This window comes from Homo sapiens, chromosome 9, assembly GCF_000001405.40.
Source record: "Homo sapiens chromosome 9, GRCh38.p14 Primary Assembly".
Lineage (NCBI taxonomy): Eukaryota > Metazoa > Chordata > Mammalia > Primates > Hominidae > Homo > Homo sapiens.
Window position 1 is genome coordinate 96,827,584 of NC_000009.12, and position 17,302 is coordinate 96,844,885.

The window sequence follows — 17,302 nt, forward strand, 5'->3', positions numbered from 1 at the left end:
AGCCACTGTACCTGGCCAAAAAACATTTTCTTATTCTCATAAATGATCAATCTCCTTGAACCCCTGAACTGCACACCTAAGTAACATAAAATTCTAAAATGGCCAATGTCTTGGTTATTGAGGAAGAGATTTCATAAGGACTTCCATATCTGGCTGTAACAGGGTAAAAGGAACTGATTTCCATAACAGACAACTAAAAAACCAAACAAAATATAAAAAATGGTAATTAGGTTTTAGCCAAGAGGCAGTGCAGACAGGGATCCTTGAAAGTAGAGAAACAATGAGGTGAGCCCTATGATTATCACAGGCTACTTGTGAGAGAGTTGCCAAACCAGAGCGGAAAAAGAATACCAAAACAGAGCCTGGCAGACTTGGCAAGCTGATGTGACAAAATTGGATGTTTAAGGAAGCCCTGGCAACTAGAATTTGTGGGAGTAAATGCCAGCGAAGAAAGAGCTATACTGATATAAAATGTTGGAGATCTGCAGAAGGGTCTCCTGAGTACTGACCTGTATAAGCATATAAGAGAATCACTCAAGGTTAGGAAAAGACCAGTGAAAAAGAATAGGCTGAAAAATCACTACAGCATACACAAAGGCAGGAAGTTTATATCATCACCAACCAGGGTAGAAAACCTCCTAATTAATGACCAACAGGGTAGAATAACCAGAACGGTACTGCTTTAGTAGAGGGGCCAAATTAGTTCTAAAGTGAGCTCTGAATCCAACACAACAAAGCTTAAAGTGTACCTTGAAATGATCGAACTAATTCCAAGTAACTTAACTACATCCCAGAAAAGGCTCAGAAATATGTAAAAGAATACAACAAAATCTAGCAACTCACAATGTAAAATTCACAATATCTAGCACCCAACACAAAATTACTAGGTATGAACAGAAGCAGTGATACAAGACTCTTATCAAGGAGAAAAATCAATCAGTAACAACCAAATAAGAAATGGCCCATATGGCCAGGCACAGTGACACCTGTAATCCCAGTTTTTTGGGAGGGTGGGGCAGGAGGACTGCCTGAAGCTGGGAGTTCAAGACCAGCCTGGGCAACACATAGAGAGACTGGAAAATAATAAACAGAGTTATCTGTGACCTGTGGTTAAATAAATTTGTAGTCTAACATATATGTAATCAGCATTCCAGAAGAAAAAAAGGAAAGGGAGAGAAAATTCTGATGCAACAGTGGCCAAAATTTCCTAATTTTAATGACCTATATAAACCCTCAGATCCAAGAAGCTAAATAAATGCCAAGAGGAAACATAAAATCACACCAATGTACATTATAATCAAATTGCTAAAACCTGCTGAAAAAAAGAAAATTTTATGTAGACAGAAAAAGACATAATATATGCAGAAGAACAAAGAGAATTAAAGCTGACTTCTTGTTAGAAATTTTACAGTCTGGAAGACAGTGAAGTGATACTTTTAAAGTACTTAAAGAAAAAAAATCAACTTAAAATTTTATACTTGGCAAAGATAAGATGTTTCAGACCAAAAAAAAAAAAAAAAAGCTGAAACAATTTATCAGCAACTGATGTGTATTACGAGAAATGTTAAATTTTCCAGACAGAAGAAAAATGGTACTATGAAAATTTCTGATTTATATAAAAAAATTTATAGAGATAAAGAGCACCATAAACTGGAAAAAAGAGGATGAAAACAAAATATACTTTTCTCATTCTTGGAATTCTTTTCTTTAAATAGAACATTATCTTTCAAGTTATCTTTTTAGACAATATTATTTATTATGGGTTTTATAATATATAAATAGCACATATAAAGAGAAATTCTGCATAATGATAAAGGGAATAATTAATCAAGAGGATATAACAATCACAAATGTTTTTCCATTTTATAACACTACTTCAAAATACATAAAGCAAATCCTGATGAAACTGGAAGAATAACCAAATCCACAATTGTAGCTGGACAGTAAAACTCCTTTCTCAATAATTTATAGAAGTAGATTACAAGTAAATAAGAAGAAGTACAGAAGAGTTGAAGAATATTATCAACCAACATGACCTCCATTTACAGAACACCGATCCAAAAGGAAAACACATTATTTTCAAATACATATGAAACATTTAACCAGGATAAATCATAAGATGGGCCCTGAAACAAGTTTAAATAAACTTTAAAAGGATTAAAAAATCTTGCTCTCCAAATAGGAATTGAGAAAGCAATAATAGTAAAAAAAATTTCAAAGAGCCAAAAATTTAAAATAAAAAAGCCATATTCTAGTAGAAATATGGAGTAGAGGTACTTTCTCCTATCTTTTCTGGCATGTATAGCTAAAAACTATGGATATTATATATTTAAAAACATAAGATGCTGAAAGGTAGAGAGAAGACAGCAGATTGTTCAAGGACTTCAGGACTCAAGGAATGACAATGATGAGTTCCCCGCACTTCTCTTTGGCCTCATATATTCCAAATTAGAAGCTGGAGAAGCTGGCAACAAACAACATGAATGTGGAGATGGAAAAACAAGACAAAACATAAAACCCAAAGCTTGTGCTCTCAAGCCAGAGGTTCAGGAAAGAGGCAGCCTAACAAGATTGAAAACTTTTAGACAACGACTGTTCTTAATTCAGCCAAACACAAAATAAAAAATATGTTCTCCACTTCTACTGCTGCCATGAAAGGACAAGTGGGGAACTCAAATGTCTGTGCTCACCAGGCTGTAAGAAGGCTCCCTTACTGTTCCACCAGGGTCATGTGAGAGAGGGCTGACGGGGCTGAGACATGTCTCCAAGCCAGGCAGTGACAAGGTCCCCTGCCCCCCAGTGTCAGTAGAAGCCCCATGGGGAGCAGTAATGAGGCACTCCAGATCCTACCATGCAGGGTGTTATCAGTGAAGGCATAATGGGGATGCTGAACCACCACTACCATTCAGCAGTAATGACAATCCCTCCTCCTCTAGGTGCCGACAGAGGCTGAGTAGGAAACCTGGACTTTCAGCCCACCTTTTAATAATAAGGCAGCACCCCCCAACCTCCCCTGCCACAGTGGTGTCAGAGAATGCCTGCTACATGAGAAGATTTAAATCAGACACAGATCTTATAATTTCCAAATAGGTTCAATCTAAAATCACTTGTCATACCAAGATCTAAGACAACTTCAACTTGATTGAGCAAAGACAATCAATAGATGCCAACACTGAGATGGCATGGAAGTTAAAAATATCTGATAAAGACTTTAAATAAGCCATCATATAAATGTTTAAACAAACAATAAGAAACATGAAACAAAAATAGAAAGTCTCAGCAAAGAAAGAGAAGATATATGAAGTAGGTATTTTAGAGTTGAAAAATAACTAAATACTCAGTGGATGGGTTCAACAGCAGAATGAAGAGGACAGAGGAAATAATCCATGAATTTTAATATAGAAGAGCAGAAATTACCCAATCTGAACAACAGACAGAAAACAGACTAACGCCACAGGGACCTGTGAGACTATAACATAATATCTAACAATTGTGTCATAGAAGTTTCAGAAGGAGGGGAGAAAAGGGAGAAAGGGAGGGGCTGAAAAGTCTAAAAAGAAATGATAGCTTACCAAGTTAGTGACTGCCATGAGTTAAGGGATAGTAAAAGGAGTTGGGCTGACTTTATATAAAGGGGTAGGACAAAGCTCTTTGTGGTGACTGAATAGTTCTGTTGACTTGACTGTAGTGGTGGTTACACCAATCTATATATGTGATAAATAACACAGAACTATACACTTGTTGTGCCAATGTCAACTTCCTGATACTGACATTGTACTACAGTTGCATAAGATGTATCTCTCAGAATGTTGAAACATTTAGGATTTAAAAATTGCTGTCTTTAGGCTGGGCGCCGTGGCTCACACCTGTAATCCCAGCACTTTGGGAGGCCGAGACGGGCGGATCACGAGGTCTGGAGATTGAGACCATCCTGGCTAACATGGTGAAACTCTCTCTCTACTAAAAATACAAAAAAAAAATTAGCTGGACATGGTGGCAGGCGTCTGTAGTCCCAGCTACTCAGGAGGCTGAGGCAGGAGAATGGCATGAACCCAGGAGGTGGAGGTTGCAGTGAGCTGAGATAGTGCCACTGCACTCCAGCCTGGACGACAGAGTGAGACTCTGTCTCAAAAAAAAAAAAAAAATTGCTGTCTTCTTGGCAGACTGACATGTAACATCACTCTGTTACCAATAATTTTCTGTGCTCTGAAGTCTGTTTTATCTGATATTAACATAGCCAATCCTGCTTTTTTATGATTAATGTTCCATGGTATACCTTCTTCTGTTCTTTTACTTTCAATCTACCTATTATTTTTTAAGTGAATTTCTTGTAGATGGCATACATTTAGGTGAATTTTAAAAACCAACTCTTTCAATCTGTCTTTTAATTAGTATATTTAGACCATTTAACGTAATTTTTGATAAGCTGCCATTTTATTTGTTTTTTTTGTTCCCTTGAATTTTTATTCATTTTTCCCTGATCTTCTCTCTTGAACATTTTTTTTAGAATTCCATTTTTTACTTATCTATTTTTCTGTAATATTTTTGAGTATACCATTTAATGTAGTTTTTTTAGTGGTTACTCTATATATTAAATTATACACATATTACCACAGTTCACTGTGACAAGTGTCAATATTTTGCTGGTTGAGGTGGAGTGTAAAGATGAAGGGACTCTAAGTCCCTTATCTGCTTCCTGTTTATAATATGATAATCTTAACTATTTCATCTATATACATTGAGAAGCACATCAGAGAATGTTCAATTTTTCCCTTCAACCATCAAACAAAATTAGAAAACTCAAGAGGGAAGGCAGGCATATTGTATCTACCAGCATTTTTACTCTTTGCATTGTTCTTTCTTCTTTCCTGATGCTTGAAAGATTCCTTTTATGATTTCTGTTCCAAGAACTTCCTTCCTTCCATTCTTTCGGGGTAGGTATGCTGGCAATAAACTCTTAGTTTCCCTTCATCTGAGAATGTCTCAATTTTCCCTTCATTTCCAAGAGATATTTACGCTGGATAAAGAGTTGTGATAACAATTCTTTTCTTTCAGCACTTGAAAAATGTGTTCTCTGTGGTTTCTAATAAGAAATCCACTTGTATTCAAATTCTTTTTCCCCAGAAGTAATATATTGTTTCCCTTTAGTTGCTTGTCAGATTTTTTTCTTTATCTTTAGTTGTCAGAAGTTTCATAATTATGCTTCTTGGCATGAATTCCTTTGGGTTTATCCTGTATAGAATTTACTCAGCTTCTTGAATCTCTAGGATTATGTCCTTTGCCACATTTGTGAAAATTTTAGCCATTATTTCTTTGAATTTTTTTTTTAGCCTTTTCTTATGGGATTCAAATTACACAAACGTTAGAGATTTTCTTGTAGTTTCTGGGGTTCTGTTCATTTTTATTCAGTCTAGTTTTTTCTCTGTAAAGAATGACTCATTTCTATTGTTCTGTCATAAAGTTCAGCAATTCTTCTCTCCGTCTTCTCTCTTCTGCTGCTGTGCACATGTAATGATTTTTTAAAAAGTTTTAGAGTAACTTTAGATTTACAGAAAAGTTGCAAGGATGGAAAGAATTCTTGTATACCTAGCAACCAATTTCCCTCGCTATTAACAACTGAAACTACCAGTTTTCTCATATAACATCAGAAATTCCGATGGCAGTTTTTTCATAACTAATAATACTGATACATTATGAAATAAAGTCCACACTTTATTCAGAGCTCCTTTTTACCTAATGTCTTTTTCCTGTTCTATAGCTTCATCCAAGATCCCACATTACATTCAGTCATCCTGTCTCTGTAGGCTCCTGTAAACTATAAGTGTTTTGTGGTATTTTGGGTCACCTTGACAGTTTAAAGGACATTGTAGAATGTTCTTCAGTTTTGGTTTATCTGATGTTTTCCTCATAACTAAAGTGGGGTTATGTATTCCTCAGAGAAAGACCACAGAGGTAAAGTGTCTACCATTCTCATCACATCTCATCAAGGGAATATGCCATCAACAGACTTATCACTGACGATAACTTTGATCACCTGGTGGAGGTAATGGATGCCAGGATTTTCCATTATAGTTATTCCTTTTCTCCAGTATGCATACTATACTTTTTAGAAGACTGTCACCAGGCACAGTCCACTACAGCAGAGGAGAATTATGCTCCACTTCCTTGAAGAGGAGTAACTACATAAATTATTAGGAATTTTTCTATTTGGGAGATTTTCTATTCTCTCTTATTTATTCAATTATTTATATCAATATGGACTCACGAGTTTTTCATACTTTGGGTTATGAACCAATACTATGTTGTTTATTTTATTACTCAAACTGTTGCAATTTTGGCTACTGGGAGATCTTTCAGTTGGCTCCCCTGTTCTTTGACGTATCCCCTGCTATGGTTTGGGTATGGTTTGTCCCCATCAAAATACATGTTAAAATTTGATCCTTAATGCAGTGTTGAGAGGTGGGGCATAGTGGGAGGTGTTCGGTCACGGGGCTGGATCCCTCATGAAAAGATTAATGCCCTCTGACATGGTTTGGCTGTGTCCCCACCCAAATCTCATCTTGAATTGTAGTTCCCATAATCCCCACGTCATGGGACGGACCAGGTGGAGAAAACTGAATCATAGGGACGGTTTCCCCCATCCTATTCTCGTGATAGTGAGTTAGTTCTCACGTGAGCTGATGGTTTTATAATGGGCTTCCCCCTTCACTGGGCACTCATTCTCTCTCCTGCTGCCCTGTGAAGAGGTGCCTTCCACTATAATTGCAAGTTTCCTAAGGCCTCCCCAACTATGTGAAACTGTGAGTCAATTAAACTTCTTTCCTTTATATATTACCCAGTCTCAGGTATTTCTTCATAGCAGCATAAGAATGGACTAATACACCATTCAATGGGCGTGAGTTCTTGCTCTCACAGGAATGTACTAGTTCCTGTGACAGTGAGTTATTTAGAGATTCCTCAGTTTCACACTCTTGCTTCCATGCAATTTCTTTGCACATGCTTGCTCCCCTTCCACTTTCTGCCATGAGTTGAAGCAGCATGACGTCCTCACCCGATGAAGCTGTCCAATTTGGGACTTCCCAGCCACCAGAATTGTGAGCTAAATAAATGTTTTTTCTTTAAAAATCACCTAGTCTCACTTGTTATGTTACGGCAACACAAAACAGACTAAGAGAGAAAATTGGTACCAAGGAGTGGGTTGTTGCTTTACAAACACCTGAAAATGCGGAAGTAGCTTTGGAACTGGGTAATGGGTAGTGGCTGGAAAAATTTGGAGGGGCAGGCCAGTATTGCCATGAATGGAGCGTTAAGGGTGATTCTACTGAGGCTCAGATGAAGACAGGAAAACAAAGGAAACTTTCAGACTTCTTACAAATTGGTTAAATGGTTGTGAACAAAATGCTGCTAGAAATATGACAGTAGAGACCATTCTGCTAAGATCTCAGATGGAAATGAGGAAGCATTATTAGGAACTGGAAAAAAGGCCATCCTTTTTACACAGTAGCAAAGAAGGTGGCTGTATTGTCTCCATGCCTCAGGGCTTTATGGAAGGCAGAACTTAAGAGTGGTGAACTAGTATAACTGGTGGAAGAACCTTCTAGGCAGCAAAGTGCTCAAGAAGTGGCATGGTTACTTTTAACAGCTTATGCTGGAGTTATACTAGCAAAGGGATAATCTAAAGATGGAATTTATAATTTAAAAGGAAGCAAAGTAGAAGGATTTGGAAAATTTGCAGCCTGGCCGTGTGGAAGAGAATGAAGGAGAATTTTTAGAAAAGATATCCATTGATGTGGCTGAGCAACTGCTTGCTAAAGAGATTAGAATAAGCAAAAGGTCAAAACAATGGGAAAAAGACCCTGAAGTCATTTTGAATATCTTCAAGTTGCTTCTCCCATTCCAGGCCCAGAAGCCTAAGAAGGCAGAATAGTTTCAGGGGAAAGGGCCAGGCTGCTGCACTTGGGACACCTTGAGACACAGCTTCCTGCATCCTAGCTGCTTCAGCTGAAACAGCCATGGGGTCAAGTGGCTCCAGTAAGGCTTGTGCTGCATAAGCCTTACATCCCCTGGCTTATGTCTAGAGGGCATGAGCAGTAAGCCTTGGGGTCCGTGTAGTGTTAATTTTGCAGGCTTGCAGAATGCTAGAGCCATGGAGGTGTGTGTTACTCCACTGAGATTTCAACGTATGTATGAAAAACCCTATAGGCCCAGGCAGAGACTTGTTGCAGGGGCAGAGCCACTGCAGAGACCCTCTGCTAGGGCAAGGCCAAGCAAAAATTTGGGTTAGGTCTACTGCAGAGTCTCCACTAAGGCAATGCCTAGTGGAGCTTCAGGATTAGGGCCACTGCTAGGACCCCAAAATTGTAGAGCCACCAGTAGCATGCAATCTCAGTCTTGAAAAGCTGCAGGCATTTGCCTTCAGCCTGTGAGAGCAGCAATGTAAGCTGGGCAGAGAGAAGCCATGAGAGTGGAGCTATCCAAGGGCTTGGAAGGCTACTCCTCACACCAGTGTGCTGAGGATGTGGGACATGGAGTCAAAGGAGACTATTCTGGAGCTTTCAAATTTAATGTCTGCCCTGCTGGGTTTCAGACCTTATGCCTATTCCACCATTGTATCTTGGAAGTAAAAAACTTTTTTTTTTTTTTTTTTGAGACCAAGTCTTGCTCTGTTGCCCAGGCTGGAGTGCAATGGTCTGATCTCAGCTCACTGCAATCTCCACCTCCCGGATTCAAGCGCTTCTCCTGCCTCAGCCTCCCGCGTAGCTGAGACTATAGGCGCATGCCACATCTGGCTAATTTTTGTATTTTTAGTAGAGACGGGGTTTCACTATGTTGGTCTTGAACTCCTGACCTCAGGTGATCCACCCACCTTGGCCTCCCAAAGTGCTGGGATTATAGGTGTGAGCCACCATGCCTGCCCAATAACTTATTTTTGATTTTACAGGCTTGTAGCTGGACTTTGGACTTTTAAGGTGGTGCTAGAAAAACTTAAGGCTTTTGGGACTAGTGGGATGGAATATTATATTTTGTATATGAGAAGGACATGAGTTTTGGGGAGCTAGGGGCAGAATGGTATGGTTTGGGTGTGGTTCATCCCTGCAAAAACTCAAGGTGAAATTTGATCCCCAATGTAGCAGTGTTGGGAGGTGGGGCTTAGTGGGAGATGTTTGGGTCATGGGAGTAGATCCCTCATGAACAGATTAATGCCCTCCCAAAGGGTTGAGTTCTCACTCTCATAGGAATAGATTATTTCTTGTGAGAACGGGTTGTTAAAGAGCCTGGTTTCTCTCTTGCTTCCTCTTTTGCCATGTGATCTCTTTGCACATGGCCCCTCCCCTTCCACTTCCCACCATAAGTTGAAGCAGTATGATGCCCTCATTAGATGCAGCTGCCCAATCCTGGATTTTCCAGCCACCAGAATTGTGAGCGAAACAAACTTTTCTTTATAAATTACCCAGTCTCAGGTATTCTGTTCTAGCAACACAAACTGGACTGAGACACTCCCATAGTTTTGTTTTTTGAGCAATTTCCTTACTTTCTGGTTCTACAAGATGCCCCACACTCATCTTGTACATTTCTCGCCTAGCCCTTAGAATCAACCATTTTCCCAAGGAATCTTGGTTCCTTTACTTGGTGAATGGTACTAGACACTACTTACAGGTCTATTTGAGCTTTCTATCTCTTCATGATTCAGTTTTGGTAGATTATGTACTTCAAGTAATTTGTCTCTTTCATTTAGGTTAATTTGTTGTTCACAGCATTCCTTTATAATCAGTTTTATTTCTGTAGAATTGCTAATACTGTCCCCATTTTCATTTCTGAGTTTAGTAATTTGAGTCTTCCCTTTTTTTCTGAACTGATCTAGTTAAAAGTTTATCAATTTTGTTGGTTTTTTAAAAAAGAACTTTGGTTTCATTGATTTTCTCTATTGTTTTTCTATTCTTTCATTATCTCTCTTCTAATCTCTACTATTGTTTCCTTTTGCTAGGTTTAGGTTTAGTTTGCTCTTTCTTTAGTTTCTTAAGACGTGAAGTTAGGTTATTATTTGAGATCTTTCTTCTTCCTTAATGTATGCGTTTATAGCTATACATTTCCATCTTATTGTTGGTTTTACTGCATCCAGAAGGTACGCTATGTTGTATTTTCATCTCTCTCAAGGTATTTTCTAATTTGTCTTATGATTTTTTGACCCCTTGGTAGTTAAAGAGTTTGTTAATTTTTCACATATTTGTAACATTTCTAGTCTTCCTTCTGTTATTCATTTTCACGTAGCTGGAACTACTGGCACATGCCACCATGATGCCTGGCTCATTTTTATATTTTTTTGTAGAGACAGAATCTCCCTATGTTGCCCAGGTTGGTCTTGAGCTCCTGGGTTCAAGTGATCCGTCCACCTTGGCCTTTCAAAGTGTTGGGATTATAGGTGTTAGCCTCTGTGCCCTGCCTTTTTCTTTTATGTGCACTTAACACTTAAATTAACCTCTGATTATTGCTTTAGCTGCATTTCACAAATTTCTTGTACTTTCGTTTTCAAAAAATTATACTGAGAATTTTTCTTTGACTCATGTGTTGACAAGTGTGTTGGTTATTTCCAAATATTTGGAAATGCTCCTGCTATCTTTCTGTATTTGATTTCTGGTATGGTTTGAAAGCACACTTTTTATGATTTCTGTACTTTTTCATTTGTTAAAGTGTGCTTTATGGCCTAGAATGTCTCTTTGGATGAATGTTTTACATGCACTTGAGAAGAATGTATATTTTTCTATTGCTGTAGTCTAAAAATGTCAGTAGATCCAAGTTGGCTGACACTGCTGTTCAGGTCATTTATATCCTCAGCAATTTTCTGCCTGCTTGATCTACCAATACTGACAGAGCGGTGTTTAAATCTCCCTATTTTAATTGTAGATTTGTGTATTTCTCTTTTTAGTTCTATCAGTTTTTTACCTCATATAATTTGAAGCTGTTTTTAACTGCATAAATGTCTAGGGCTGTTATGTTTTCTTAGAGAATTGAGCCATTTATTACTATGTAATATTCTTCCATCCTTGATGATCTTCCATGTTGTGAAGTCTGCTTTGTCTGAAATTAATAGTTATTTCAATTTTGATTAGTGTTAGCCTGATGTATTTTTCTTTTCTTTTTTTTTTTTTTTGAGACAGAGTCTTGCTCTTGTTGCCCAGGCTGGAGTGCAGTGGAGTGATCTTGGCTCACTGCAACCTCCGTCTCCGGGGTTCAAGTGATTCTCCTGCCTCAGCCTCCCAAGTAGCTGGAATTACAGGCACCCACCACCACGCCTGGCTAATTTTTGTATTTTTAGTAGAGATGGGGTTTCACCATGTTGGCCAGGCTGGTCTTGAACTCCTGACCTCGTGATCCACCTACCTCGGCCTCCCAAAGTGCTGGGATTACAGTCGTGAGCCACAGCGCCTGGCCTATCCAGGCAACTTTTTACTGTCAGTTGGTAGGAAGAGTCCTGGCTTACCACTAGGCCTCATCTGAAATCACCCCATTAGAGAGCTAGAGGAGTACTCTGATACTCTAGAACCAGGGTGGAAGTCAGTTTTTGGTGATGGAAGAGAGCTGCAGTTTTTTTCCATAGTGTTTAGCTAGGGTAGGGCAGTTGTCTAAAATTTTCTGTCTTTCTGGGTGGTTGCTTTCCTGTTCTTTTGTCTAGAGGAAGCAGGCTTTACTTGGGACTTTTTTTTTTTTTTTTTTTTTGTCTGTACCAATTGGTGTTTCAGGCTGATACATTAGGCAAAAATAAAACTGAGAAAGAGGTGTCATTTCTTGGGTTCCAATGTCCCTAGCTTGTCTGTGTCCTTCTCTCACTGTTCAAAGTCTTCTTATGTGTTTTGTATATAATGTCTAGTGGTTTTAGCTGTACTTAAAGGGAGGAACAGGAAGAAGTATCTGTAATCAATCTTATCTGGAACCATCAGTCTCTAAAACTTTCACATTTAAGAACTACCTTTTAAATTTAGTGTAATCTTTCAATATGCAAAACGTATGTAGTTCAAAAATCCAAATTGTATAAAAAGGTATATTAAAAGTCTCACTTCCATTCCTGCTCTAATCACTCACCCCCCCCACCTGCTAAATTTTATTACTTTCTGATTTTTCTCCCAGTGTTTCATTTTTGCAAATATCAACAGTTACGTATATTCTTCTCTCTTTCCTTACTCAAAGATGGCTTCCTATGCACACCATTCTACTGCTTCTTTTGACTTAATATTTACTGAGTATCACTCCTTATTTGTATACAGGCTCTTGTCCATTTTATAGTTGCATAGTCTTCATTTGTGTGTAGAAGTAACACACTTTTAGCCAATTAGTCAATGATGTACATTTGGGTTGTTGATATTCTATTGCTCTTACAAACAATGCTGCAATGAATAACCTTGTGTATATATCATTTTGTGTTTATGCAGGTATTGTTGCTGAGTACTGTATATGTTGCTGAGTAAAAATTAATGCACCTGTAATTTCTTTTAGTGCCAAAAAATTACATTTCTTAGCAGATATGGTTGATTACTATTTTATTTAAAGCCCTCAATGACTACTTATTGCTTTAAACCCAGAATATGGCCTCAATAATATATATTCACTTGGTCCACTTCCACATCTTGTACCATATTCCTTCTTGCTTTCTTTGTTCCAGGTGTACTGGTTCTTTTTCAGGTCTCTGTACTCACTATCTTTTCTTCTACTAGGGGTCTTTGTGCTTGTTCTTTTCTCTGCTTGGAGTGTTTATATTTCCTTATTTAGCTTATTCCTAGACATCCTTAGAGTTTTTCTCAAGCAACACTTATCTTTTCCTTTGAATTTGAAAATTTTCTTTGAAAAAGTAAAAAAGAGAGTTCAGTGAACCCCTCCCCTCATGTATCCTTCACCCAGCTTCAAAAAAATTACAATTTTTTTTAACAGAAAGGTTTTCTTAACCTCAGAAACTCTTCAAATCACCCTATGAAAATTAAGGCTGTGCTATTGAATAACTTGAGAACTGCACTGGTGTCTATCAAAAAGTGGATATTAATTAAACAGTTGTTAAGTTTTAATTGCATTTCTTCATACAGTCTCATACTATATGAATGAGTGTTCAATCAAAGAAGAAATATGTCTTCTAGACATAAATAAGAGACACGTCTTAGTAACCCGATATGCAATTTGCATGTTGCAGCTAAAGCAGTGCTGAATTTTTTATGGCACTAAATGTGTACGTTAGAAAAGAGAAAAAGTCTCAAATTAATAGTGCATGATCTCACATTAAAAAGCTAGACAAAGAGCACAATAATCCTAACAGAAGCAAAAGTAAAAAGTTAAGAGTAGAAATCAACTAAATTAAAACCAAAAAAACAAAAGAGAAAGATCAATGAGAGAAAAAGCTGGTTGGCTGAAAAGAGCAGTAACCTTGTAAAACCTGTAGGAAGAGTGAACAAAAAAATAAAAGAGCAAGAAGACAGAAATGACCAATATAAAGAATAAAACAGGTCTATAAATACAGATCCTGAAGACATCAAAATGATAATAATGGAATGGTCTGAACATCTTTACACATATGAATGTGACAACTGAGATAAAATGGACTCATTGTTAGAAAAGCAAAAATACCACAATTCACCTAATAGAAATAATTTGAATATCCATATATATGACTTAAATAAATTGATTTGTAAAACTTCCCAAAAAGAAGTCTCTAGGCCCAGATGGTTTCACTAGATAACTCTATCAAACATTTAATGAAGAATAAACACCACTTCTATACAACCTCTTCCAGAAAATTGGAAGGAACACTTTCCAACTAATTTTATGAGGCCAGACTTATGCTGATATGAAAACCAGACAAAGGCAGTACAAAACTACAGACCAATTTCTCTCATAAATGCAAAACTACTTAACAAAATATTAGCAAATAGAATCAAACAATAAATAAAAAGAATTCTATGACATTACCAAGTAAGGTTTATTCCAAGTATATAAGGCTGGTTCAATATTTGAAAACTAGTCAACAAAGTCTATTACATTAATGGAGTAATGAAGAAAAACCATGTAATCACAGCAGTATATACATAAAAAGTATTTGACAAGATTCAATATCCATTCATAATCAATATTCTCAGAAAACTAGGAATACAGAAGAAGTTCCACCATTTGATGAAGAATATCTACAAAAGATCATTTGGTGAAAGACTAGATGTTTTCCCCTTAAGGTTGGGAACAAGGCAAGGATGACTACTCTTACCACTCTTATTCTACACAGTACTAGAAGTCCTATCCAGTGTAATACAACAAGAAAAGGAAATAAAAAGCATACAGATTAGAAAGGAAAGTAGTAAACTGACCCTATACATATATGACATGATAGCTTATGTTAAAAAATGCCAAGGAATCTACAAAAAGCCTCCCTAGAAAGTTCAGCAAGATCTCAGCATAAAAGAACAAACATACAAAAATCAATTACATTTCTATAAACTAGCAACCTTTGTAAGCAAACAGAAATTTAAAACACAATGCCATTAACAATTACTCAACCAAATGAAATACTGAGGTATAAATATAACATGTACAGGACTTTTATACTGAAAATCACAAAACACTGAAGCAAGAAATCAAGATCTAAGTAAATGGAGAAATATATTGTGTTTATGGATTATAAGCCTCAAGACTCAAAACAGTAAAGATGTTAACTGTCACAAAATTGATAATTTATAGCTTTAATTCCTATCAAACACCCAGTAAGATTTTAACATAATGATATTATTACAATATGTATATGCAAAGGTGAAGTAACTAGAATAGTTAAAACAATATTGAAAAAGAAATATAATGTGGGAATATAATAGTCTCATACAAGTACAGCCAACTGATTTTTGACACAGGTGAAAAAGCTATTCAATGAAGGGTAATGGTGTTGCATGGAGCAAATGGATATCCATAGGCAAAAACAAACAAAAAAAGATCTCAACTTACACTTCATGCCCTATACAAAAATTTACTCAAAATGTACCATAATTAAAATGTAAAATATATTACACAATTTTTAAAAATAGGAGAAAACCTTTGGTCCAAAGACTTAGTGAAGAGTTCTTAGATAGGACAACATTTTTACAAAACTGATAAACTGGACTTCATCAAAATTAAAAACTTATGCTCTACAAAACACCCCATGAAGAGGATGAAAAGACAAGTTACAGACTGGTATAAAAATGTGCAAACCACACATCTGACAAAGAAACTCATATCTAGACTATCTAAATTCTCAAAAGTCAATGGTAAAACACACAAACTTCCAATTAAAAAATGGACAAAAGCCATGAACAGACATTTTACTAAGGATACACAGATGGCATGTGAACACATGAAAAGATATTTGATTATCAGTAGCCATTAGGGAAATGCAAATTAGGATCACTATGAGATATTGCTATACACCTGTTCAACGACTAATACATAAAATAGCAACAATGCCTAGTACCAGAAAGGATAGGGAATAACTGGATCCCTCATACATTGCTGGTGGAAATGCAAAATGGTACAGCAACTCTGGGAAATAGTTTGGCACTTTCTTAAAGAATAAAACATAACTTACCATACAATCCAACAATCACACTCCATGGCACTTATCCCAGAAAAACTTATGTTCACAAAAAATCTGAACATGAATGTTCACATCAACTTTATAATAGCCCCAAAATGGAAACAACCAAAATGTCCTTTAATAGGTGAATGGCTAAACAATGATATTCATACAGTGAAATACTACGTAGCTATAAAAGGAATGAACTACGGATACACTACAACTTGGATCTCAAGAGCATTACGCTGAGTGAAAAAGCCAGTCTCAACACGTCAAATACTGTATGATTCCACTTATATAACAGTCTCAAAATGACAAAATTATAGAGCTAGCAGATTAGTAGTCAGCAGAGATCAGGAACAATGTGAGAGACAGCATGGGTGTGACTATGAATGAGTAGCACCAAAGAGATCTTTGTGGTGATAGAGCAGTTCTGAATTGTAACTGTGGTGGTTACATCAATCTCCACATGTGATAAAATGGCACAGAGCTATTCACACACATTGTACCAGTGTCTATTTACTGGTGTTGATAGTGTATTATAGTTATAAAACATGTAACCTTTGGGGTAAGCTAAAGTGAGGACACAATTTTTGCTAATTCCCATAAATCTATAATTATTTCAATATAAAAAAGGTTTCTTAAAATATATGCAAAAAATCAAAAACTGAAAACATTTTCTCTTTAAAAAGAGAAGCAAGAGATGGCAAGAAAAAGTCTGTAAAACATATATCTAATAAAGGTCTGAACTTCTTCAACTAAACAAACAAAAATACTAAAAACTAAACGAAACAAAAATGAGCTAAAGATTTGACTGGTCACTTAAAGAAGATTTATGAATCGCTAAAAAGCACATAAAAAGAGGTTCAATGTTGTTAGTCATCAGGAAAATGCAAATTAAAACCCAACTAGAACTGTTAAAAACAGCAAAATTTTCCAAATAATGGTAACCAAAGAGTAATGAGAACTCACAGACACTGTTCATGAAAATGAAAAACTGTGGAGCCAGTTTGAAAACATTTGGCAGTTTCTCATAAAGTTACAGACAGATAAACTTACCAAAGACCTGGCAAGCTCACTCCTAGGTACTTATACAAGAGAAATGAAAACATATGTTGACACAAAGACTTGTATGTGAAAGTTCATAGCAGCTTTACTCAGAAAAGCACCAACTGGGAAAAAATTCCGTATGTTGACCAACTGATAAAGGATAATAAATTGCAGTATATACCCACAAAGCGGCACTACTTAGGATAAAATAATTAACCACTTATACACACATGTGCATGAGTTTCAAAAGCATTATACTAAAGAAAAGCCAGACAAAAGGGAGTATATAATTTATGATTCCATTTATATGAAATTTGAGAAAAGGCAAAATTATTGCAATAGAAAGCAGACTAGTAGTTGCCAGGGGTTGTGGAGGAAGGGATGGAGGGAGGGGACTCACTGCAAAGGGCTACAAAGAATCTTCTGGGGGGTGATAAAAATATTCCAAACCATGATTTGGATTGTGGTAATCAATGTATACATTTTTCAAAACTCATTGATTTGTACACTGAAAGGTGCTGAATTTTATTTTCTGTTAAGTATACCTCAATAAAAGTGACTAATATAAAAAAGGAAAACCAGAATTGCACTGTAGAGGGAGTCACATGGTACGGTATGGAGAGAGAGAAAGAGAGGAGAAACAGAACTGCACTCTGGAGGGAACCCCATGGTAAGCTGTGC

At 36.7% G+C, this 17,302-nt stretch overlaps 1 protein-coding gene across 19 annotated transcripts in view; it reads right to left on the reverse strand.

Moving 5' to 3' along the window:
- Positions 1–17,302, reverse strand: part of ZNF782 (zinc finger protein 782) — a 117,643-nt gene that overhangs the window by 11,420 nt on the left and 88,921 nt on the right. The window contains exon 1 of one of the 19 annotated variants that reach the window (XM_024447431.2): positions 2,691–17,300. The exons of the other annotated variants lie outside the window; for them this stretch is intronic. The gene's annotated coding sequence lies outside the window, so the exon portion shown is untranslated. Of the gene's footprint in view, positions 1–2,690; positions 17,301–17,302 lie in introns of those variants that run through there. 19 annotated transcript variants of the gene reach the window in all.